Here is a 26,244-nt window from a genome sequence, read left to right on the forward strand (position 1 = left end):
CTAAACTATAAAATGCTTAGAAGAAAACATACAAGTAACTCTTCATGACTGTAGGCAATGGTGTTTTAGATATGACACTAAAAGCACTAGGAACAAAATAAAACAAAAAACCTCATATAAATTGGACTTCATCAAATTTAAAATCACTTGTGCCTCAAAGGACACATTTAAAAAGTGAAAATACAACACACAGAATGGCAGGAGTATATTAGCAAGTCATATATCTGCTAAGCATGTAGTATTCTAGCATCTAGAGTATATAAAGAATTTTTATATTACAACAATAAAAGACAAAAAACCCAGTTAAAAATGGGTAAAGCATTTAAATAGATGTTTCACCAAATAAGAGATACAAATGGCCATTAAGTACCTGAAAAGATAACATCATTCATCATTAGGGCAATGCAAATGAAAACCATTTATACCCACTAGAATGGCTATAATAACAAAATGGAAAATAAGTGTTGATGGCAATGTGGAGAAGTTGGGACCTTTATACACTGCTGCTGAGAATGTAAAATAGTGTGGCCACTTTGGAAAACAATTTTGCAGTTTCTCAAAATGTTAAACATAGAGTTATGATAAGACCAAATATTTCACTCCTAGGTACCTAGTCCAGATAAATGAAAATATATATTCACACCAGCATGTACATAAGTGTTCATAGCAGTATTATTTATAATAGCCCAAAGTAGAAACAACCCAAATGTTCATCAACTGACAATTAATGTTTTAAATTATATATATATATATCTATATCCATACAATGGAATATTACTCAGCCATAAAAAAGAATTAAGTACTGATACATACCATAACATGGATAAACCTTGAAAACATACTAAATGAAAGAAGCCAAACATAAAGGCCACATATTGTATGATTCTGTTTATACAAAATGTCCAGAATAGGCAAATCCATAGAGAAAGCAAGTAGATCAGTGCCAGCACCTATAGAAGGGGAGTGGGGGAATGGGGAATGACTGCTATGGGTTTGGGGTTTCTTTTTGGGGTGATAAAAATGTTGTTTCCCCTGAACTGGGGGCTTAATCTAAATGATTTATAGGGTCTTCTCCACATCCAGCTTCCAATGATTCTATCAATCTTCCTGAATGAGTAACAATTTCAAAAGGACTCTAAAAATCAGCCCTTACACCTTTGGTATCTGTTTTAAGGGAGATCTATTTTTTGAGTATCGGCCATTTAAATCTATTTCTATTCTTATAAAGAACAAACTCTGATTTGGTTAAATTCCTGAGATTTTAATTTCCCATGAAGCATTCTGATTGATTGTGAACTATGTGGAAAAACCAAACCTAAGGTAGTTTGTGAAATTGAGCATAACTGTAAGTGAGGAAGCAGTTTTCACAAAGGCTTAGTGAAGGAAGAGACGTGTAGCTGTTGGCTTTTTAAGCCAAATTATAAACATATACGATAGTGGCATAACAATAAAGGGTAGAGAATAGTGACTACATAAATTTTGCGAGGACAGTAATTTTGTATAAAGCTTATGACACAGTGGTTAAGAGGTTAGGTGATGCAATTGCTTCGTCTGGGTTAGTACTGTGGATCGATCTACCTCTTACCAAGCCATTTGGTGCTTCAGTTTCCTTTTCTGTCACATAAGTGTAGTAATTGTACCTCCCTATAAGATTGTTGTGAGGATTAAATTAGATGACACTTGTCAAGCACTGAGAAAGGTGTTTGAGCCTTGGCCAGGGCTCAGCAAACATTAGCATTAATATTTTCAACAAATACTCCAAATGCTTGATGAATTTTATAAACACACTTGGCACTGCTTGACAAATACTTGTTTACAGGTACCATGCCCTAATACAACTATCCTGACAGTTACTTAATGGTATAAAATAAAATTTTTCATAATGTAAATAATTTTCTTTTGCAGAACAAAAGTAAAAATCTTCACTAACAAAATGAAGATCTTGCTAATTATATTTGTCCTAATCATTTGGACTGAAACATTGGCAGACCAGAGCCCAGGTATCAGTATATTTTACGTTTATTATTATTTAGGAAATATTTTTACATCTCAGTAAACTTTAATAAACAGCAAGAAATAATTTATTTACTAAAAATCAAAGTATGCAGCATTTAGTAATTGTTATACAACATCAAACAAACTTAACTTGTGAAAGACAGCACAAAGCCATGAGCAAAAGTCAGGAGTTATGTTGCACCTGGCTAGAAAAACTTTAATTATCCATTAATTTGCTTCAATCTCAATATTACATGTCTCCATGGATTGAGTCAGTCCATTTGTTTATAGATCCATTTGAATCTTGATCTCATAAATGAAAGAAAAGGAACCCGACACAGAAAACAAATTCTAAGTATTTTCGTGACTAAAACCATTGCCTTCCTTTCCTTTTACAAGCATGAAATATATATTTACACACAAACACACACACACAGTCATACGTCACTTAACAATGGGTGTACTTCCTGAGAAATGCATCATTAGGTGATTTTGTCATTGTGTAAACATCATAGAGTATACTTATACCTAGATGGTGTAGCCTACTACACACCTAGGGCATATGATACAACCTATTGCTCATAGGCTAAAAACCTGTACTGCATGTTACTATGCTGAATATTGTAGGCAAGTATAATACAATGGTAAGGAGTTATATATCTAAACACATCTAAACACAGAAAAGGCAATACCTTGCACTACCACATTATGACAGCTATGATGTCATTAGGTGATAAGAATTTTTCAGCTCTATTATAATCGTATTTTTTTGAGACAGAGTCTCACTCTGTCACTCAAGCCAGAGTGGAGTGATGCAGTCTCGGCTCACCACAACCTCTGCTCCCTCGGCTCAAGCAATCCTTCTGCCTCAGCCTCCCAAATAGCTGGGACTACAAGTGCATGCCCCCACACCTGGCTAATTTTTATATTTTTTGTAGAGACAGGGTTTCATCATCTTGCACAGGCTGGTCTCAATCTCCTGGGCTCAAGTGATCCTACCACCTTGGCCTTCCAAAGTGCTGGGATTACAGTGTGAGCCACCATGACCAGCCAGCTTAATTTTAACTGTATGAGGCCACTGTCATATATGCAGTCTGTTGTTGACTGAAATGTCATTATGTCGTTGTGAAGCACACGACTGTGTGAGTGTGTGTATGTCCGTGTCTGTGTGCCTGTCTGTATAGGAAAAGCGAGAGAGCATGCATGAAAAGTAAGTTTTTATACTCTCTTGTAATTACTAAAAACATCATTCAAAGAAGTATTTTAAACTGTGCATTGTCACTGTGTTACTCTAAGATTTCCTGATGCATTTCTGAGTTACCTTGAAAGAGCCAGTTGTTAGACATTTACTAGCACATTACTAATTTCAGGAGCAGCACGGCTGACCATGACTGCTAAGGTAGATACTATTGGCACCTCCCTTACCAGACTCTTCTTATCTGGCTGATGCACCCACCTCCCAGCTACTGTGAATATTGCTGGCAACAGCTCATGGCTGTGCCCCATTTTCTCAGGGGAACTGTTCTCAGTTTTCCCACTTAACCAAGAGGTTCTGCCTACAACCTTCTGCTCCTTCTCTCCAACTTCTGGGGATGGTCTGCAGCCAATGACTGACTAATAGGGTAGCACAAAAAACTGGCCCTCTTGCCTCAAAGAGGGACAGCTCTGCTGTAATTTAGGCTCCAGAGCCCCTTGCAGAGCAGGTCAAAGCTAGACCTTACCGGATGACATGCCCTTCTCTGCTTGTTCCCTGTCCTATCCTGTTTCTCTTACATTGCGCGCCCTCAATCAAGCACTTTCATCTGAAATCCCCATCTTAGACTCTGTTCTCCCACCTGAGACAATTGCTTACTCTATAACGTTTTCAAAAATTGCTGTTAGTTCTCAAACAACTTTGGCCCATTCTTACACTGCTATGAAGAAATACCCAAGACTAGGTAATTTACAAAGGAAAGAGGTTTAATTGACTCAGTTCCTCATGGCTGGGGAGGCCCCAGCAAAATTACAATCATGGCAGAAGTGGAAGCAAACATGTCCTTCTTCACATGGTAGCAGTAGAGAGAAGTGCCAAGCAAAAGGGGAAAAGCCATGAGAACTCATGAGACTCTCACTGTCACAAGAACAGCATGGGAGTAAGCACCTCCATGATTCAATTACCTCCTATTGGGTCCCTCCCATGACACATGGGGATTATGGGAGCTATAATTCAAGATGAGATTTGGGTAGGGACACAGCAAAACCAGTCCAGTCAGGGACTTTCTGAGTTGGTACAATATCAGAGTTTAGGGTTCCAGAACTAAAAAAGAAAAGAAGTTTATTGTCTCTTGTATATCTGTTGGCTAACTTTACTAAAGCCCTTTTGTTTGACATTTTAGCAAAGGCAATTATATTTTCTTCTGTTTGACCTCCAGAAGACACTTTTCTTGGGATTCTGATATACACTTAACACCAGCACATAGTCTTAAATAAGTATTGTGGTCTAAAATACAAAGGTTGAATGATAACTTTGTTTTTGCTTGTTATTTTATTTTGATAGGGCCAGGCCCTGTGTATGCAGATGTCGTGTTTCTGGTGGACAGCTCCGATCACCTGGGACCTAAGTCATTCCCATTCGTGAAAACGTTCATCAACAAAATGATCAACAGTCTCCCCATAGAGGCCAACAAATACCGTGTAGCCCTGGCCCAGTACAGCGACGAGTTTCACAGTGAATTCCATCTGAGCACCTTCAAAGGCAGAAGCCCCATGCTGAACCACCTCAAGAAGAACTTTCAGTTCATTGGCGGGTCCCTGCAGATAGGAAAGGCTCTTCAGGAGGCTCATAGGACCTACTTCTCTGCACCCATAAATGGGAGAGACAGGAAACAGTTTCCCCCAATTTTGGTGGTCCTGGCTTCGGCTGAGTCTGAGGATGAAGTGGAAGAGGCTTCGAAAGCCCTGCAGAAAGACGGGGTGAAAATTATCTCCGTGGGGGTGCAGAAAGCTTCTGAGGAAAATCTGAAGGCCATGGCCACATCCCATTTCCATTTCAACCTTCGGACAATCAGAGACCTCAGCACATTTTCCCAAAACATGACACAGATCATCAAGGATGTAACCAAGTATAAGGAGGGAGCCGTCGATGCTGATATGCAAGGTAAGGAAACCCTTGGTTGAAGAGGTGCCTGATCCCCAGGTGGGTCTACATCTGTCCACTCTCACCTCTTGCAACTCATGTTAGGTTTTCATGATTAGCCATGTTGAAGTATTGGAAACTTCTACACATCATACCTACTCGCTTCTGCCTTTGCTTGTGCCATTTTTTCTGACAAGAGCTCTATCTTATTGCACTCCTTTGCTTTCTTATAGCTTGAATAACTCCTGTCATCATTTAAATCTCATCCCTACATTCTTTTCCTCTTGGAATCTTTCCTTTCTAATTTCTTTTTGGGTTTCGGTTCCTTGCACACAGCTTATGACAGCAGCACTTCCTGTAACTATCCATTTCTGTGTTTGTCCTCCTTCCCTTCCCCACCATCACGAAGCAAGAAACAGGTAGCACATGAGGGCAGGGTTGACAACTTATCTCTCTGTCCTTTGTGCCAAGCACAGTGCCTGACAATGAGCTGGTGTTCTATTTCTCAATGAATTAATACGTGAGGATCTTACAGATAAAGAAATAGGATCACTGTCTATTCTCTTTCCTTCACCATCTTGTTACAGTATGAGACTCACAATAAATATTCAATAAATGCTTGTGAACTGATATATAGTGATACTCAGTGAGAAGAATGATAACCTTAGAATGAGACACTATTAGTACATGTTCATATTTTCTGTTCGACCAGGAAGAAGAGGGGATGCCCTCAGTGGTGCAGTAATGCAATGCAGTGGACTGCATTCTGCTGTGTTGAGCCCTGCATCTGCTGTGTTGTCCCATCCTAGACTTTTAGAGGTTAGGAGCAAAGACTTCGGAGTCAGGAAGGTCTGAGTTCAAACCCTGGCTTGGCCACTTAGGACATTGAGTCCCTTACTTAACCCTGAGCGTCAGTTTCCTTACCTGTAAAGTGAGGATAATAGTGTCTATCATATAATATGAATGAGGTGACTTGTATGGCATTTGGCACACTGTTTACTATTATTAATAGTAACAACCATTTGCAAATAAATACTAACCTGAGAAGGTCATTCTTGGAGTTTGTTTTAGCTAACTGTGGGATTTCAGAGTAGATTGGTAGATTTATGAGGATTAATTTTAATTCCATAAATATTTTTGAGCTCTCACCAGGCACCAGGTACTGGAGGAATAGTGATAAGTAAGACATGCTTTCTGCCTTCTAAGAACTCACAGATGGGTAATTCTTGGCAAGGTTGAGCTTATCTCTTGGCTATGCTTTCCACAGCTGCAGTTCATCCAGCTGTGCTTGGAGTCTATGTTTTATGTGAATACGGTGTACTTTCCCTTAGATTCCAAATTTGTATAACCAACTGCTTACCTGGCATCTCCTCTTCAATACTCAGTAGTTTCTCAAACTTACCATGTCTGAAACAGAACACAAATCCCCCCTGTAACTTGTTTTTCCCACTATCTTCCCTATCTTGAAAAAAGACAGCACCACCATTCACTCAGTTGTTCAGGCCAAAAACCCAGGAGTTTTCACCACTTCCTCTTTTGTTGTCAATACTCACATGCAATTTATCCAGCTTTCTGTTCTACCTCTAAGTCATGTATCAAAACTATCCTTGTCATTCCATCTTAGCAGCTGTAATACTTGTCCAAGAATCATTATCTCTTTCCTGGACTAGGGCCATTGTTTCTTAATTATTATCCCTGAATTCATTATTTCCTCTCAGCAACTGGAGTGGTATTTAAAATATTTAAATAAGATCATGTGACTCCCAGAAGATCTGGGCCCTGCTTCCCTCTGGCCTCATCTGTCAATGTTTCCCCTCACTCATGGGCTCCAACTACTCTGGACTTCTTGCTTGTTCCCACCTCTTGCTGTTCTATCTGCCGGAATTCCTCTTCCTTCAGAACTCCGTGTGGCTGAATTCCTCTCTTCAGTCATTTCTCAACCCACATGTGATCCTCTCAGAGAGGCCTTCCCTGATTTCTTCATGTCTAGGTAAGTTAACCCTCCCTTAACCACAGTGTAGTCACTCAGTCAAGTCACCTGTTTTATTTCCTTGCTAGCACTTATTACTGTGTGAAATAATACAATCTAGTTATCTTCCCTCCCCAGAGAATGTGAACTCCCTGTAGTAAGAGATATTTCTGCTAACTCATCCCTGCATCCCAGTTCTTGAGAATGATGGTGGCAGTGGTAAAGGTAGCGGTGATGGTGGACGTGGTGGTTCCTTCACTTCACTAGTAGTGAAGGTAGTGGTGACGATGGTGGTGGTCGTGGTGGAGGTGGAAGTGACAGCAGTGGTGGTGGTGATCATACAAGTGGTGATGGCGGTCATGGAGATAATAGTGGTGGTGGTCATGGGATGTGGTAGGGAAATTGGTCAGAAGCATTCTTCAGAGGGAACAGCATATGGAAAGCTTTTGAAGTCAACGACCTTGTAAGTCTTGTTTAGAATTTTGATTTTTTGTTCACTAAAAGAAAACGATGCTGTCTACATCCATCATGACTACCTCTATTCTAACTAATGTGCTTGATAATGTAAAAAGTACCTTTTTCTCTCCGGGCCAGTGGTTTATACTAATCCTCACACATTTTCTGTCTGCATAGTTCACTTCCCCATATCCTGTCAGAAAGATTCACTCGCTGACCTCGTGTTCCTGGTGGATGAGTCACTTGGGACCGGAGGAAATTTAAGGCATCTTCAGACCTTCCTTGAGAACATTACCAGCTCCATGGATGTGAAGGAAAATTGCATGCGACTTGGACTGATGAGTTACAGCAATAGTGCCAAGACTATTTCTTTTCTTAAATCAAGCACAACCCAATCTGAATTTCAGCAGCAAATCAAGAATCTTTCTATCCAAGTTGGGAAATCCAATACAGGGGCTGCCATTGATCAGATGAGAAGAGACGGCTTCTCAGAGTCATATGGCAGCAGAAGAGCACAAGGAGTGCCTCAGATTGCAGTTCTGGTCACCCACAGACCATCAGATGATGAGGTGCATGATGCTGCGCTGAACCTTCGACTGGAGGATGTAAACGTGTTTGCCTTGAGCATCCAAGGGGCTAACAATACCCAGTTAGAAGAAATAGTGTCTTATCCTCCAGAACAGACAATTTCCACGCTGAAGTCCTATGCAGACTTAGAAACTTACAGTACAAAGTTCCTGAAAAAGCTCCAGAATGAAATATGGTCCCAAATTTCTACTTATGCTGAACAAAGGAATCTTGATAAAACTGGTATGTTTTTTAAAATACTTTTCTAATTATAAAATTAATATAAGTGGTTACCTAGGACTAGGGTGGGAGTGAGGATCAACTGTAATTGGATAAAGGAACTTTCAGGAGTTGTGGGAATGTTCTAAAGCTGGATTTTGGTGATGCCCATACAACTTCAAACATTTGCCAAAAATCATTGAACAATACACTTACAAGAGGTCAATTTTATAACATATAAATCACACCTCAATAAAATGTAAAATATGTGTTAATTATAAAATATTGTAATAGTATGGCTTGACATACAGAAGAAAATAGAATCACCTGTAATTCTATCTTCAGATAAAACCATTAATACTTTTTTCTGTTGTCTTTAGTCTTTTCTGTCCCTCTCTCTTTCTCTTCCTCCCTTCTCTCATCCCTCACCCCTCTCTCCCTCTCTGTCTTCCTTTCATTCATGCACACATAGACAAATACACAGTTTTTAAAAATGATACCACATTGTATGTATCAGTGCTGTCCAACAGCCCTTTCTATGATGCTGGAAATGTTCTTTATCTGCACTGTCCACTAGGTCAGCCACCAGCCATGTGTGACTACTGAGCACTTGAAATGTGGCTAGTGTGATGGAGGAACTGAATTTTAAATGTCATGTAGTTTTAATTCATTTTAATAGCCAGGTGTGTCTAGTGGCTGTCATATTGAACAGTATAGGCATAGACAATTGGGTAACTTTTATTAGTTACAACTATATTTGGGTGTGACCAACAGAAGAAACCAAAATTACAGTAATTGAAAGAGGGTAAGATTATTTTTTCTGTTTCACAAATAAGTCCAGAGGTAGGTAGACTGAGCTAGTCTGATACACCACAGTGTCAGAGACCCTGTCTTTTTCCACATTATTTTTTGCTGTTCGTGGTCTTAATTCCTAGGATCGTTGTCCAAAATAATGGCTCCAGGCATCACCCTCACATCCAGAAATCAAGAAAGACAAAAGGGAAGAAAAAGGGCCAGGCCTCTTCACCTTTTCTTCAAGGATGCTCCCAAGAGTTATATGTGCCATTTCTGCTTACATCCCATTGGCCAGTACTTGGTCACATGCCACACCTAAGTTATAAAAATGGAAGCTGGGAAATGTGACCTTTATTTGGGGAAGCCAAGCGCCTAGGTTAAAACTGGTGGTTCAATTGGTGTAGAAGAAGGAGAAAATGGATATTGGAGATAACTAGTAATATCTGCCTTACCCACTTTTTCATCAACTTGATATTATGATCTTTTGTCTGTTTCCTTAAATACTCTTTTGAAACATTCCTTTAGGTTGAGAAAAATATTCCATTTAATGGATATACCATATTTTTTAAAACATATCTTAAATTGTTGGATATATAGGCCAATGTTTTGTTTTTATAAAAGTCTTGCAGGGACATCCTTTTACCTGTATTTTTATGCACAATCACGGTTATTTTCTGACATTTAAATCCTGTCTATTTTTTTCTTCTATCATTCCAGTGAAGGATCTCCTAGTTAAGATTCTTTGTGAATCTGCTATAGTTTTACTGAGCTCTTTTCAAAGGTACATGCCAAGAGATACTTAATATGACTTTGAGCTCATCTAATTCTGAGATATCTGCTGTCCTCACACATTTTCTCTGTAGAGAAAATGCTTCCAGGCAATTGAAACTGGAATTTGGCAGCACACAACATGGAAAGGAATTTTAATGTTCCAATGATATTAAAGGCTAATTTTGAACTCAGACCAGCTTCAATCTAATACTGTTACTACACCATAGGAGGGATATGTGGCATAGTCTCTTTCAGGAGTTTGCAATGATGCCACAAAAAATTATTATTGTCATTATAGAAATTGTAAATGGGAAGATATGGGACCAAAGCTAGGGCACAAGGCCTCACTATGTAACTCCTTAGTAATCCAATTGTTTTAAAATGTTGGTACCTGACTTAAGTTGGGCTCCTCAGAAGCAGATGCCTGGCAAAAATTCACATGAAATTGATATATTAGGAAATGTAACCAGAAAAAAAAATGGAGATTGGTAAGAAAATGAGGAAATGGGAACAGGAAGGAAAGGACAATAAGAAAAGTCCTATGGATAGTAACGTTGGCTCAATTCCATGGTGTCATTATAGAGATAGTGTATATCAAGCACCAGAGTTGTCCCAGGCAAGGAAAACAAACAAACAAACAACAACAAAAAACACAAAAAAACATAACTAGAGAATTTACATTTAAGCACATGCAGGGAATGTAAATTTCTGGACACTCCTGGTTCAAGTGCCAGGCAAAGGAGTTGCCAGAAACTCAGGGGCAGCTCACCTACAGATATAGCATTTGCTATTGGGAGTTAAAGCAAAGCACTAGCAGCCAGTTTGCATAAAAATGGTAAGAAATTTGAGAAAATACAGGTGAAAACACCAATAGTGTCTGTTTTAAACTTAGAGTCTTTTGAGGAGCTTGTTAATAATTCAGTTGCCCAAGCATCACTCTAAAACTACTGAATTGGTCTCTGAGGGTAGGGCCTGGGCCCATGCATTTTAGTGATCTCCCTAATGAATTCAGGCTAGCAACATTTAAGACCTACTACCTTAGTGAAGTTTCTGTGATCTAGAGTGTGGTGGCCAGCTTTGCAATTTCAGAATGATCAACGCTCAGAGAAACAATCTATATCTGGCTTAGTCCCTGCTATATCTACTACATCTGGCACATACTAAGTGTTCAGTTTTTATTCCATAAAACTTCATTAAATCAAGGCAAAATTCACATTAACCAAACTCAAGCGACTGATGTATAGAAAAAGAATGACAATTATCTATGTAAAAATGAGAGCTATCAATGCCCAGGGGCTTGGACATTCACATCTTCCAAGTGGTACATTCTCTCCCTATAGATATGCCAAATTAGAAGCTAAATTGTAATCAAAACTCTGCTTGGGGTGGTGGAATCACAACAAGAGAGTTACTGTAGTTTTACAATTGAAATGTTTAGTAGCATCCAATTGGGCAGATGTTTCTACTTTAAAATCAAATACATACATCTATATTTATATATGTATCTGTATATATGAATGCACAGGTGAGGCCTTGAGCCAAGGGACACATTCTTTGGCAGTGTTTAATTGAAATTTTGTAATGATAGAAATATTCTGTATCTATGCTAATAGGGTAGCTGCTAGTTATATGGAGCTGTTAAGCACTTGAAATGTAGCTAGTGTACTCAAGAAGATGACTTTTAATTTTATTTAATGTTGGATAGTTTAGATTTACATTTTAATAGCAACATGTGACTAGTGGCTCGTGTATTGGATAGCACAGCCCTAGGCAGGGATGAATGGGCATTGCTACAGTTACCTACTCACCTTTTTCTCTCCCTCATTGCTAATCACCACTACCTTTCTTTTGCTGAACATTTAATTCTTCTTTATTAGATATATAAATTAATGCATTCCGGTTACTTTCAAGTTTTGTTGGCCTGGGATCAACCCTGTCTTTTGCAGATAACCGCTTATCTTTGCCCTAATGCTTTATGTATTGATTTTATAGTTCATTTCTCAGGGTCAGACTTCTTTTCAGTATATCTGATTTCCTAAGGAGCAACTGCCGTGGGCTGAAGTAGTGTCAGTAGCTATAAATTACCTAAGAGCTGTCAAGAAAACCAGATAATGACACACATAACCCAAAATTTTGAAAATATGTTCTTTCTCTTACCCAGTTTCTGTGAATATCTACATAAAGTAGTAAATAGACTACTAAGAAAGCAAAAATAGTTTTTCATAGATTCAGCTTAACAAAGGAAGGAACATTGAGAAGTCTTTTATTAAAAAAAACAAACTGAACTCCTATGATGTGCCAGGCCTACTGGGCAGAAGCAGAAAAATAAACAAAATCTTTGTCCTCATGGATTACATTCTGTGGTAAGAAACAGGCCATGCTCATGAACAAATGAAGAAGGTAACTTCAGAAAGTAACATAAAGAAAATAAACACTGTAAGAAGATAGACAATGACAGGTGTGCTTTAGATAAGGAGAAGAGAAGACCTTTTTTAAGAGATGACTTGATGACATCCATGATGAGAAGGAAGCAGCCATGTGGATATTTGGGGCAAAGAATATTTCAAGAAGAGAGGAGGGCACATGCAAAGACCCAGGGACACGTTCTAAAGACAGAATGAAGCCTAATGTGGTTGGAACACAGTGAGGGAGACGAAGAATTGCTGGAAATAGAGTCAGAGAGAAAAGCAGGAGACAAGATAAGGCCAAGTTTTAGTTTTTAAGTTCCAAATGCAACGATAGATCATTTAAGAGGTAGGATAATATGATCTAAGTTTATATTTAAATATCTTATTCTAGTTGCTCTGGGAAGAAGAGATTATTGGTGAAGTAAGAATAGAAGATCGTCAATCCCATGCCTTTTTTCAAGAAATGATAGGACATAAACTGTCTAAGAAGGCAGGTGTCAATGCTAGAAAAACTATTTAACTTGGAGCCTGGAGTCTCTGGAATTTGGTCTTTACTCTTTAATTTACTGGTTATATGACCTTAGACAAACCACTACATTTTGCCCTGTTTCAATTTTCTCACAAGGTGTTGTAAATTTCAAAGGAGAAAATGGGCATGACTGTGCTTAATGAAGTGTGCAGGCTCTACGCAAAAACGAAGTCTTCATTCTTTAGAAATGCCTCAGCCTCATGTTCCTTCACAAACCCTCTTGCAAAGTTCTCTCTAGGTTCTCTAATTTACAGAGAATGCACTTCTTTTTCAGGCTGTGTGGATACAAAAGAGGCTGATATCCACTTCCTCATTGATGGCTCAAGCAGCATCCAGGAGAAACAGTTTGAGCAAATCAAGAGATTTATGTTGGAAGTGACAGAAATGTTTAGCATTGGCCCAGACAAAGTCCGAGTTGGAGTTGTGCAGTATTCAGATGACACAGAAGTGGAATTTTATATCACTGACTATTCTAATGATATTGACTTAAGAAAGGCTATTTTTAACATTAAGCAACTAACTGGTGGAACTTATACTGGGAAAGCTCTGGATTACATACTGCAAATAATAAAAAATGGAATGAAGGATAGAATGAGCAAGGTTCCCTGTTACCTCATTGTGTTGACTGATGGGATGTCCACAGACAGAGTCGTGGAACCTGCTAAGAGACTAAGGGCTGAGCAAATCACTGTTCATGCAGTTGGCATTGGGGCAGCTAATAAAATAGAACTGCAAGAAATTGCTGGGAAAGAAGAAAGGGTTAGCTTTGGGCAGAACTTTGATGCTTTGAAAAGCATAAAAAATGAAGTCGTTCGTGAAATCTGCGCTGAAAAAGGTAAGCAACACAAAAAAGGCTTTATTCTCCACATTTCATCAATTGCTTTAGGCAGATTAATGGCCAGGCTGAGACAAGGCCTGATGTGACCAGTTGTCCGGATAACATTTTGCTAGCTTCCTTTATTACCATGGAGGGATTCAGCCCCTCACTTTTAAACCAAATGCCAAGACTGGAGAATCTGTCTATAAACAGTTGCCCCAAGGCCATCTTGGAAGTCATAAGTGGGAAGGTTGCTAAGAATGTTGGGGCCTTGACAAAGCCCACTGCTGTGGAGTGAGAGAGATTCTATTCTGCATGGGAGGTGTGTGTGTGTGTATGTATGTGCATACACAAATAAGTACGGGGGAAGTACAGTGTTTGTGTGTGCACAGGTGGGTACAGTGGAAGGAAAATGGACTTTGGCTCTAGATAGCTTAGGGTTTGACTCACATACTTCCACTTGAGCCTGGAACATTGTCATTTATAAAATGAGGATAATACCTACATCAGAGAATCCTTATAAGTTGAGCACCATAAATGCCAACCATTATTTTTATATTAAATGCATATCAAGTATATATGTAATAATTGTTCATTTTTATTTACAACAAAAACACATACTTGCATTTTTGTTCTAATTAGAGATTAAGTACCAAAAGTTAGGAGAAACAATTTGCAAATTTCTATATCTGGTTGTTTTTTTATTTCTATTATTAATAATGGCCACTTACACCACTTACTAGTTCAAGATGGTATGTGTTGATTGCCAGTATTAGCACATGAAAATATTGCCTGCTGAGAAGCACATTAGTTTACTGGTAAAGAGGAAAGATGCTAGAGTCAGAGTCAAGGTTCATACCCTAGCTTTACCACTGATTAGCCACGACCTTGAATAAGTTAGTGTCTACTTGCCTTGGTTTCCTTGTTTGTAGGCTTATTGTGAAGCTTAATGGTGATAACACACGTGGAGCAGTTAGAGGAGTGCCTGGAACATAGTAAGCGCTACAAAAAAGTTAGCTGTTGCAGAAGGTGGCTAAGGTGTTCACCGATGAGGAAAGGAAGAGAATTCTCACTTATTTGACTAAACTGAAAACGTGTTTGAATTTTCTCTAAGCCACTGAAAAACAAAAATAAAAAATAAGTAAGCAAATAAATAGCATTAACAACAAAATCCTAAGTAACAATTTTGTTCATTTTTCTCCCTGTTATGGACAGTAACAGAGTTGGGTCTTTAGGGTGTCTTAGAAAGAGTGCAAGAATAAAAGATTCCCCAATGTTTCCTGGAGTCGATGCTAAGAAAAGTAAAAGGATTCCAGGAAGCATAAAGTAGGTTGTATCTCAGATCCTTTCAAGGGAGAAGGTCCTGGACGAATCTAGGGAGGTACAGTACATCCCTTGCACTTCAGGTAGTTGCAGTTGAAGTAGTCAGCCTGAGCACTGGCATGCCTGGAGGAGGAGATAAGTTGTGGACAAGGAAATGAGTCATAAAATGGCTAACAGAGAAGCAGGAAAACAAAGGAGCCAAAGCTTGTGGAGCTAGAAAAAACTAAGGAGTCTCAGAGCAGATGCAGATGGAGTGAGGCACAGTGTATTAGTAGGGTACAGGTTAAGCTGCAATAGCAAAAAGACCCCAGACTACACAGTACAGAATATCATTTTTCTCTTACATAATAGTTTAGGGTGAATAGTCCAGGTCTAGTAGAGAGGCTGTTCCATCCTCAACACATAGCTTCCATCTTTAGGTCAAAACTGAAGATCCAGTTCTTATCACCTTCCATCCATGGAAAGGGAGAAAGGACCAAGGGAGCCTACCACACTCAACTGTTTTAATGGTAAGACCCAGAAGTGGCCAGATCACTTTTTTCTCATACCTTTTGGTTAAAACTTAGACACAAGGCCACAGCTAGCTTCAAGGAAGGCTGGGAAATACAATCTTTAGATGGGCAATCATCTGCCTATCTAAAATTTTATTAACATAGAAGAATGGAAAGATAGATATTCAGGGACATTAAGTAGTTTCTGTCACAAATAGATACCAGGAAGTAGATCCTGTGAATACTAAACTGTATGTAGAAGCCTATTTCTTTTATATGTGTTACATGGAAGAGAATCTTTCACACTTCACTACAGTGGTCAAGGCCACTCTGTCAAGGCCACAAACATCTTCAGCAATTTCTCCTCTCATGACTTTCAAGATGGTTCCATGGCAGCTTGAATCTTAAAATGGTGGTGTAGTCCTCCTGGTGGATCAGAATGTGACCTTACACGTTTATTAAGTAATAGTTAACATCTTTTCATTTTTTTAATATATGGCTGATGCTATGTTTATTTTCAAGAAGTATGGGATAGACTTCAGAATGTTGAGGGAGAAACTGTAAGAGGATGGCAGAGATTACAGATAGACAAAAGGGATTAAGACTAAAAAGATACATGCTAAAGACAATATATTTGCATATTATATATATACACAACATATGTATCATGAATTAATAATATTGTTTTTAATAGATTATAGAAATTGGTTTTATATGTGTACATATGTCTATATTATACATAGAACAATGAACATACATATGTGTGTATATATATGTATATATATATATACGTATGTCTGTATGTTCATTTCCAATCAGTAGGCTGTCTACAAATATTATGTATAAAGGAACAGTCCATGTTGAATGAGTATATGCTTACTGAAGCACTTATCTCTAGTAAAAACTTTTTCTCCAATTTCTAATATTGATTTATAGTGTTTATGAAATCACTTAGAATTATCCCAGAAAATAATGCTATTTAAAAATTATTTGAAATTGTGTTTCTCCAGAATATACATAAAACCCTGGAGTGTTAGTACTATGAGTGCAAGGAATTGATTGCTTTGGCTCTGGTTCCTTTTTTGTATCACTACTGCATCTTTAACACATGGCTGGATGCCTGGCATTTTATACAACTCAAAATTATGATTGAATGAATGAAAGAAATATGAATAAATGAGTTATGCATGCATGCATGCATGCATGAATAAATACACATTTTGGAAGCTGCATTTCTGATTCAAGGTTCTAGTCAACCAGCTTCTACTAAAGAAGCAAATACAATTTTCAAACATAACAACAGTTGCCTGAGTTAATTTTCAATGTTTTCTCATTAATGCATTTGTTTCTGCCTTAATGTTACTTCATGAGAACCTTTCCAACCTGGTTATTTCTGGTCTTTTTTTTTATAACATGCAGGATGTGAAGACATGAAGGCCGACATCATGTTTCTGGTGGACAGTTCTTGGAGTATAGGAAATGAAAATTTTAGGAAAATGAAAATCTTCATGAAAAACCTGTTAACTAAAATTCAAATTGGTGCAGACAAAACCCAGATTGGTGTTGTTCAGTTCAGTGATAAAACTAAGGAAGAGTTCCAGCTTAATAGATATTTTACACAGCAAGAAATTTCTGATGCAATAGATAGAATGTCTCTCATCAATGAAGGCACTTTAACTGGAAAGGCACTAAATTTTGTAGGTCAATACTTCACCCACTCCAAGGGGGCCCGTTTGGGGGCCAAAAAATTTCTCATCCTCATCACAGATGGAGTAGCGCAGGATGATGTGAGAGATCCTGCTAGAATTCTTCGGGGCAAAGATGTGACCATCTTCTCTGTAGGAGTATACAATGCCAATAGATCTCAGCTAGAAGAGATCAGTGGGGATAGCAGCCTAGTTTTTCATGTTGAGAACTTCGATCATCTAAAGGCACTAGAAAGGAAACTTATCTTTCGTGTGTGTGCTCTCCATGGTAAGTGTCCCTGTTATCTGTCAGGACTAAAGGATGTGAGCTGTTGACTTTATAATGAGAAACAGTGAATGGCACTCTGGCCCTGACCTCCACCTGGACTTCAGTGTTAAGTTTTGGTCTTCTTTATGTAATATTAAAATGCCTGTGACCTCCAGGAATGTTTCAGACTAACAATTTTGGCATCTAGTTTGGCACAAGTTAGTATGGCATTGGTGACTTCAAATATGTTCCAAAAAGATCCCAGAATTTTACTTTAAACTTACAAATCTTTAATACCCACATGCCTGGATTTTCCAGAGCCAGTTTTTAATCCCAAATGATTTTCTAGAATTGTTTCTTGGCTATCTATGACCATTGTTAAGCAGAAAATAACTAGAAATACAAATTCGTCTTTCTTTTAGTTAAATTATATCTAGTATCCTAAGCACCACCCACCAAGAAAACCCTGGGTATTTTAAAGATAGTTTATTTTCATTACTTCACATTATTATTCTTAACCTCTATCAACTGGATATTTTATATTTGCCTGTTCGTGTATCCATCCCTTTGAAAAATTGTAATTTGTCACTTTTCTGATTACTTGGGGTCATCATTTTATTCTTACAAATTGTAGTGCTTTTAAAATTGTATTGTGCAACCTTCAGTTTGAGCCTATCAATTTTAATGTCTTTTGAATGAGAGCTTTCTCTCAATCCACACATAGACTAAAACACCTATGTTTTTAAATCTATCATGTGCTATTTTCTGTGTTTTGGATACAACTAAGAAAACAAACCCAAGTAAGTTTGTTTTGTGTTGTTCCTGTGGCAACATAGAGATTTTCATTGGACTTTATTCGTCAAAATTATGCATGTGGAATTTTCAGAAACTTAACATAATGTCTTATAAACACTTAAGTGTTAGGTGATAGTTCTAAAGTTTCCTTGGTAACAGCTTAATTGGAATTTTCTTCTTCCCCCAAAGATGGCAGTGATTCCAAAACTCTTGATAATGTTGAGAGGTGTACCTAAAGGCTATAGCTTCAACTTTGAAACCTGCAAGGCTCTTCTTGGCATTTCTTCATTTTGATTAATGTAAATGTGGAGGCCCTGTCTACAGCATAACCTGAAATTCAGCTGACTCATGCATTAGATTGTCTCCTAAGTATCAGGTCATGACTAGTCACCAGTTCTCAGTGGGTCATTGACCAAGGTTTTTACAGATACAGCCTGGGGACATTCACAGTGTCAGAAAATTAAAAATTTGAGACTTTATTATTAGAAATAAGAGTTGACAATTAGCTAGGCAGGTGGAAAGTGGAGAAAGCCAATCTTTGGAATACATGTGCATAAGTTATTGAGGGAAGGAAAAGAGTGGGGAAAGAGTCCACACTTTGGAAAGCCAGCCAAAACAGTCATTTGTCTTACAATGTGGAGGAGGGTTTGGGGTCAGGGAAAAGGTGATAGGAGTTTTTGCTCTCCTCCTACTTGGGGCCACTTCTTTCTGAGTTCTAATTCAAAAGGTTAGGGGAAAAAGCATAAATAACTGCAGAGAGACATGATAAACAGGGATGGTTTGCATACCCGAGGGTCCAAAGATACCTGGAGCCAGAGGGAGTAGGGTAAAACTACCAACTTATACAGTGAGCTCCTGAGCTTTTCGAAATAGCAGGCCAGTTTGGCAAACATCAGTATATCTCGCCATTACATTGGCATGGAACTAGCTTCTAACGTTGCCTTTCAGTTGAAAGCCTGCTTAGCAAAAGACATTACATGTCCTAATGAGATATATCAAAATAGAGTGGTGTGGCATAAGGACCAGCAAACCTGGAGTGATATAGATAGGGTACAAATGTCTTTGGAGTCATGATGTAGGCAAGTTGCACTTCTCTGAGCCTTGACTTTTTTTTTCTGTAAAATGGCAGCAGCCACCTCTAAGAACTAAGTGAGATATAGTGTCTGACACATAGTAGGCTCATGGCAAATGCCAGTTCGCTTCCCTTCTCAGCACCCTGCGTAGAATGCACTGCAGAAAGTTTGTGACTCCTGTTTTCATCTTCTTTCAGATTGTAAAAGGATTACACTACTAGACGTTGTGTTTGTGCTGGATCATTCAGGTAGCATAAAAAAACAATATCAAGATCACATGATTAACCTAACTATCCATTTGGTGAAGAAAGCAGATGTTGGCAGGGACCGAGTTCAGTTTGGAGCCCTCAAATACTCTGACCAACCTAACATCCTTTTCTACCTTAATACATACTCGAACAGATCAGCAATAATTGAGAATCTGCGGAAGCGCAGGGACACTGGAGGGAACACCTACACTGCCAAGGCTCTCAAGCACGCAAATGCCCTGTTTACAGAGGAACATGGCAGCCGCATCAAGCAAAATGTGAAGCAGATGCTGATTGTCATCACCGATGGGGAATCCCATGACCATGATCAGCTCAATGACACAGCATTGGAACTGAGAAACAAAGGCATCACCATCTTTGCAGTGGGTGTAGGAAAGGCCAACCAAAAGGAACTTGAGGGTATGGCAGGGAATAAAAACAATACTATCTATGTAGATAATTTTGACAAACTGAAAGATGTTTTCACACTTGTTCAAGAACGTATGTGTACTGAAGCACCAGAGGGTAAGTTGTTACTTTTAAAGTTTCTATGGGGGTAGCAATAAAAGTTTAAACAAAAAGTAAATCATAAGTCTCAGGTCTCCGATTACCTGGATGTTATGGACTGAACATTTCTCTGCTCAGGCTATCAGTTTTCTCATCTCTAAAAGAAATGGGTTGATTGAACAAGATCCCAAAGTTTCCTTCTCACCACAGCATGCACTGAAGAGATTATACAGGAAAGTTCCAGATGCATTCCGTGGCATTTTACTACTCTGTTGCCTTTTTCTGGCAGAAAGGAATTCTTCTTAGGGTCATATTCACCTTACCCCAAGTAATGGCTGCTCATGGTGCTCCATTTGGTTAATGCTCTCAATGCAGCCACTGGACATCAGTTTCAGGTCAAACTCAAACGGAAAGTTTCATGGTTTAAATGGATAGACTTTTGCCTTCAAAGATCCAGGGCCCTCTAAATGAGATCATAGGCATTCTAGAGAGGCATCAAAATTCAAGTGGCCTGATGTGCTTTTCTGGGTAAGCGCCACCTGTGCAGAGGGCAGGATATGAGAGTTGAACGTAGGGTAATGGAAGCTGGCTGAGAGAAACAGGGAGGGAAGGGAACTGAGATGATTACCAGCTACCATTGGGGTTGGTAGGCTGGAGACATCACATTTGAGTGAGGACAGGGTGACACTTGCCACTTGTGGTCTTAAAAGCAGTAGAGACTGATAAGTCATCTAGGAAGGGCTGCTGTGCCTACTTGGAAGGTCTGAATTCTTGTGGTTTGTTATTGGCCCAGTCCTCCCAATCTGGCAAATGAAACAATTAACTCTCAAATTTCCTTTCTTCTTCACTTCCTTCCTCCCTCCTTCCTCTTGTTTCTTTCCTCCTTTATTCCTTCCTTTCTACCAACAGGAAGCTCACTTTTGTCACTAATATAAATCATGTTTCTAAGACTGACATTAACCCACTTCCATATCTGTAACTTGTCCAACTCCAAACAAAACCTTACCTCAAATCCTGTGTCAGATCAGCATTTGCTTGGCTAAATAAAACTATGCCTGACCACCATAGCTTTACCTTACTTAAGTAAGCAATTAATTCATCTTCTTCGTTTCAGATATTGAATGATGGTATCATCTTTATCCAAGGAAAATTATGATTTTTCCCAAGGCAGCAGGACCACCCCAGTTCTTCTGCCTGTTCCATCCTCTCCCTTGACTCTCAGTCTGAAGCGTGGGCTCCCCTCCCTCAGTCCTGACACACCTGCCAGTCCACTTAACACTGAATGTTCTTTCTTCTACACACTGGATGTGGTCACTCTTCTGCTTACAGTGTTTTTTTTTTGTGTGTGTGTGTGTGTGTGTGTGTGTTTTTCTTGGAGGCCTCCCTGTGCCCTTGGGGCAATTTCCAAACTCCTGAGCTCTATCTAGCCCCTGCCCACCTCGCCAACCTCATTGATCACCTCTCCCCTCTTCACAATCTACCCTGTCCTTCTGAAATTCCTCCACATCTTTGTGCACACTATCCTGCCCACCATGAACACTCCAGCCCACCACTGTGCCTGCCTACGTCTCACTTTTCTGTCAAATTTCAGTCTTTGTTTGCTAGTTTCCTGGCCCAAAACCTGACCCCGTGTCCCCACTGTATCCCCCAACTCTCACTCCTTCTATTTTCCAGGTGGTAGCACTTGACACATATTTGCTGTTTTCCTATCTGTATCTATCAAAAGACTACAAGCTCCACAGGCAGGCTTAATCTTGTTTGTTTGGGGTGTCCTCCAAAACTGGCGCATTACTAAGACTACAGTCTTTTCCTATGAATGTGGAGGCTGTTTTATTCTCATTTCCTATGCCTACATTTTTGAGGTAGTGGTGAGATGGAGTTTGGGATGCAAGATGTTTATTAGGGATCCACACCTGTAAAATAAATGGGGAAAGCAAGATGGACCAAATAACTCAAATAGTGACATAGGCTAAACAAAGCTCCAAACCTAGCAGAGAGCTCTGAAGCAAATTTCGCCCATGAGAGCTGTCCAGCTTCAGCCTGAAACAGCTGGACTAAGGGAGAACTCCCTTCCCACTTAGTGCCTGGATGTGGTGGCCCTAGGAAGGGCATGACCTTTGGCAAGGCATCTCTCTATAGTGAGACAGACCCTGAAAGTGCTGACAGCTAGAAGCTGTTTACCGCCTGCCCATACTCCCATAGCTGGGGAGTAAGTTCTTCTTTGCAGGTCTATCCGGGCAGCCCATCTTTGTGTCTGCCACACTACCCTTACAAGGAATTCTGTGACCGTGGGTAACCTACTGTCTCAATTACCTTTAGTAATCACCGTAGTGCTGCTGCTACCACAGCCATTGAGTTTGGTTGGAAATGAGTATAGAAAGTCACCCTTTGATTTTGGGACATTTCAGATTGGACTTCAGGGAGGTGACCTTATGCTCTGTTTACCAGCCATTCACACTTCTTCTGAGAAGTTCTAACATTTGAGTCATGATATTTTTAAAAAGCATTGCAGCAGAAAAAAAGTGCTAAATTTAAGAGTAAAAAGGATCTAGAGGTCCAGATACCAGCTCCACTCCATAGTAACTGTGTGCTCTTAGGCGAGTCACTTAGCCTCTGAATTCTATTTCTATATTCGTAAAATTAGAATAATTAGTCATAAGGTGGTTGTGAATATTAATGTTGTTAGTGTATGCCAAAAGCATTTTTAAAATGCTACTCCTCAATATGAATGTAAAGTGATAACATGAATAGTAATAGGAGTACTAATAATAGTACAGTAAGTAAGTGCTATTATCTTGATGGGGTAAATGTCCCAATCGTGGTGTTTTGAAGGGACGTCTACCCTTTATAATCACCTTTTAATGAGTACGTGAAATTTATTCAAACTTCTTACTTTCTTTCTCTGATTAGCTTTCAGTGTCTTTTCAAATGGATTGTATAAATAATTAAACTTTGAAAAAAACTCCATTATCTTTCCTCCTCTTGCTATTTTTTCTTCTTTTTGAGGATCAGTGATTCTCTCTCTTGTTAACTTATCTCAATTTGCTAATGTAAATCAATTGAAGTATTTAGTAAAGCAATTTAAGTATATGAGGAAAGGAAAAATTTCGAATGATTCATGAGGAAAATAATTTATTCTTTTTTCTATTGCAGTCTGTCATCTTCAGGAAGCTGACGTGATTTTCCTTTGCGATGGCTCTGACAGGGTATCTAATTCAGATTTTGTAACCATGACAACTTTCTTGTCAGACTTAATCGATAATTTTGACATTCAGTCTCAAAGAATGAAAATTGGTATGGCTCAATTTGGAAGCAACTACCAGAGTATTATTGAGTTGAAAAACTCTCTGACTAAAACCCAGTGGAAGACTCAAATTCAGAATGTCTCCAAGAGCGGTGGATTTCCAAGAATTGACTTTGCCCTTAAAAAAGTGAGCAATATGTTTAATCTACATGCTGGTGGGAGAAGAAATGCTGGTGTCCCCCAAACTTTGGTTGTTATCACATCTGGAGATCCTCGCTATGATGTGGCAGATGCAGTAAAAACCCTGAAGGACCTTGGAATTTGTGTCCTGGTTTTGGGCATAGGAGATGTTTATAAGGAACATCTCCTGCCAATAACAGGCAATTCTGAAAAAATAATCACTTTTCAAGACTTTGATAAATTAAAGAATGTGGATGTGAAAAAAAGAATCATCCGTGAAATCTGCCAGAGCTGTGGGAAAACCAGTAAGTGCTTCTTGTTTGGTTTTCTTCCATGGAAACTTCTCATTTCTCCATTTCCCAAGAGTGTCTTATGGGCTAGCTCTAGCAGAGCATATATTTAGAACATATATTTAGTGAGAATATCTCACTTGTTGTGCAATGAGAAGAGACTTCTCTGCTTCCAGGAAGTTTGGATAACTCAGCCTCCCTCAAAGACATGGAAAGGGTGCAGAGGCTAGAGGGGACCCCTGGGCTGTGTCCTCTGGTCAGCCCTGTTCCCTCACGGCAATCCAGTGTTTATTCTCCTTTTAACACCTGGATCTCTCTCTCCTATTTCTGTCCTCCTAGTAAATGCCCTGCATCCAGTAGGAAGTAAGTAAAATAAACATTTACAGATTGGAAGTTTTACTATTGTACCTTTGTTAAGCCATCTTGTAAGGGACTCGTGTGTGTGTGTGTGTGTGTATGTGTGTGTGTACAGTGTATTTTTCTTCTTTTAATGATTACATTCATATAATCATAGCCTACTAAAGATCTGAATTGTCTTTAGAGGTTATTTAATCCAGAGGTCACAAAGGCAAATGGCTGCAAAGGCCAGGTGCGTAGTGGAGATGAGTCAAGTGAGCAGAGTATGAGGACAGTGAACTGAAAAACAATGATGCATCTCACAGGAATGCCACTATTCAGCTCCAGCTGAGAGTGGCCACAGGGGACTCAGCTTCTGTAAATTTGAGGCTAGGAGTTGAGAGGACAGCATGTAAGGAAGCAGTAGCAAATGATAACAGTTTGTGGAATTTGCACAACATGCAGAAATTCCTTAGAGTTCTTACGTTTCTAGAGTTATTATGATTGAAATCACTTCTTTCACAAAATGTGATAGTCTTTCCAAACTCTCCACATCTTATATGTCCCATTTGCGGTGCTCAAGTGGAGGCAGATTACAGTGGTGGAAAGAGCCCAGGGCCTGGAATCAGAAAGCTAGAGTTCTAACTCTGGTTCAGCAGCAACAACCTCCACACACGACTGTTTCCCCATCTGTAAAATGAACAACCTGGGCAGGATCAGAATAACCAAATGGCAGCTTGCAGTTGCAGTTTGTTTGTCGCATCCAGCGTTGATGAGTTGCTAAATTAGTTGACAGCATTCACACTGAAGGTTCTACATTAAAAATGTTGACATCAGGCTCCTCTTTGAAAAATCAGAAGATCTGACAACACTAGGCCCCATTTTCCACATAGCTACTCTCAGCTGGAACTGAACAGTGAACAGACCCAGAAATGGGTCATTGTTCTCCAGTTCATTTTCCTCACACCCTGCCCACTTGAATCATTTATCTTATCTACCTGCCTTTGCAGCCATTTGTGTTTGTAACCTCTAAAACTTAAATAATCTGAAAAGACAGCACAAAACTTTATTTATTTTTTGTTTTTTATTTTTTTGAGATGGAGTCTCGCTCTGTCGCCCAGGCTGGAGTGCAGTGGCACGATCTCGGCTCACTGCAAGCTCTGCCTCCCGGGTTCACGCCATTCTCCTGCCTCAGTCTCCCGAATAGCTGGGACTACAGGCGCCCGCCACCACACCTGGCTAATTTTATTTTTGTATTTTTTAGTAGAGATGGGGTTTCACCGTGTTAGCCAGGATGGTCTCGATCTCCTGACCTCATGATCCACCTGCCTCGGCCTCCTAAAGTGCTGGGATTACAGGCTTAAGCCACCACACCCAGCCTCAAAACTTTAATGTATTCTGACTATGTGAATCAAAATATGTCACCATTAAAATGCACGCCCACATGCATGCGCACACACATACGACAGAGTCACTGAGAATGAGACTAAATTATGGTTTGAACTTCAAATAGCTATTGGAAGTTTTAATATTTTAAAGGGGACAGAGAAAACCCCTGTGATATATGTTGGTATCACATATATATGTGATATACACATATATATGTGTATATGTATATATATGATATATGTATATGTATATATATGATAAAGCAGCCAGTATCTTCCTTCTTGAACACTATTTGGGGACTAGAGACCCTCTAGCTCTGGGGCATGACAGTGCTCCTTTTTTCTGCCGTCTCTCCTTCCTTACTCCTGTCTACTCGTTAATCTTGACTCTGTTCCCTTGGTTTCTAGATTGCTTTATGGACATAGTGGTTGGGTTTGACATCTCCACTCATGTGCAGGGGCAGCCTTTGTTCCAGGGCCACCCCCAGCTGGAATCCTACCTCCCAGGCATCTTAGAAGACATCAGCTCTATCAAGGGGGTGAGCTGTGGGGCTGGCACAGAGGCACAGGTGAGCTTGGCGTTTAAGGTGAACAGTGACCAAGGATTCCCTGCCAAGTTCCAAATCTATCAGAAAGCAGTGTTTGACAGCTTGCTGCAAGTCAACGTCAGTGGGCCAACTCATCTGAACGCACAGTTCTTGCGGTCTCTTTGGGACACATTTAAGGATAAATCTGCATCCCGGGGCCAGGTATCCATATTACATTCTATCTCCCA

General features: G+C 39.4%; 1 protein-coding gene across 3 annotated transcripts in view; it reads left to right on the plus strand.

Moving 5' to 3' along the window:
• Positions 1-26,244, plus strand: part of COL6A5 (collagen type VI alpha 5 chain) — a 139,175-nt gene that overhangs the window by 26,034 nt on the left and 86,897 nt on the right. For all 3 annotated transcript variants that reach the window (NR_022012.3, NM_001278298.2, NM_153264.7), the window contains exons 2-9: positions 1,906-2,000; positions 4,532-5,131; positions 7,713-8,345; positions 13,099-13,659; positions 16,875-17,429; positions 19,474-20,049; positions 23,185-23,760; positions 25,878-26,218. Coding sequence is in view for 2 of the 3 variants with exons in the window: in NM_001278298.2 (NP_001265227.1) it covers positions 1,934-2,000; positions 4,532-5,131; positions 7,713-8,345; positions 13,099-13,659; positions 16,875-17,429; positions 19,474-20,049; positions 23,185-23,760; positions 25,878-26,218 (3,909 nt within the window). In the remaining variant the exon portion in view is untranslated. The remainder of the gene's footprint in view (positions 1-1,905; positions 2,001-4,531; positions 5,132-7,712; positions 8,346-13,098; positions 13,660-16,874; positions 17,430-19,473; positions 20,050-23,184; positions 23,761-25,877; positions 26,219-26,244) is intronic.

This window comes from Homo sapiens, chromosome 3 (genome assembly GCF_000001405.40).
Source record: "Homo sapiens chromosome 3, GRCh38.p14 Primary Assembly".
NCBI classification, from domain to species: domain Eukaryota; kingdom Metazoa; phylum Chordata; class Mammalia; order Primates; family Hominidae; genus Homo; species Homo sapiens.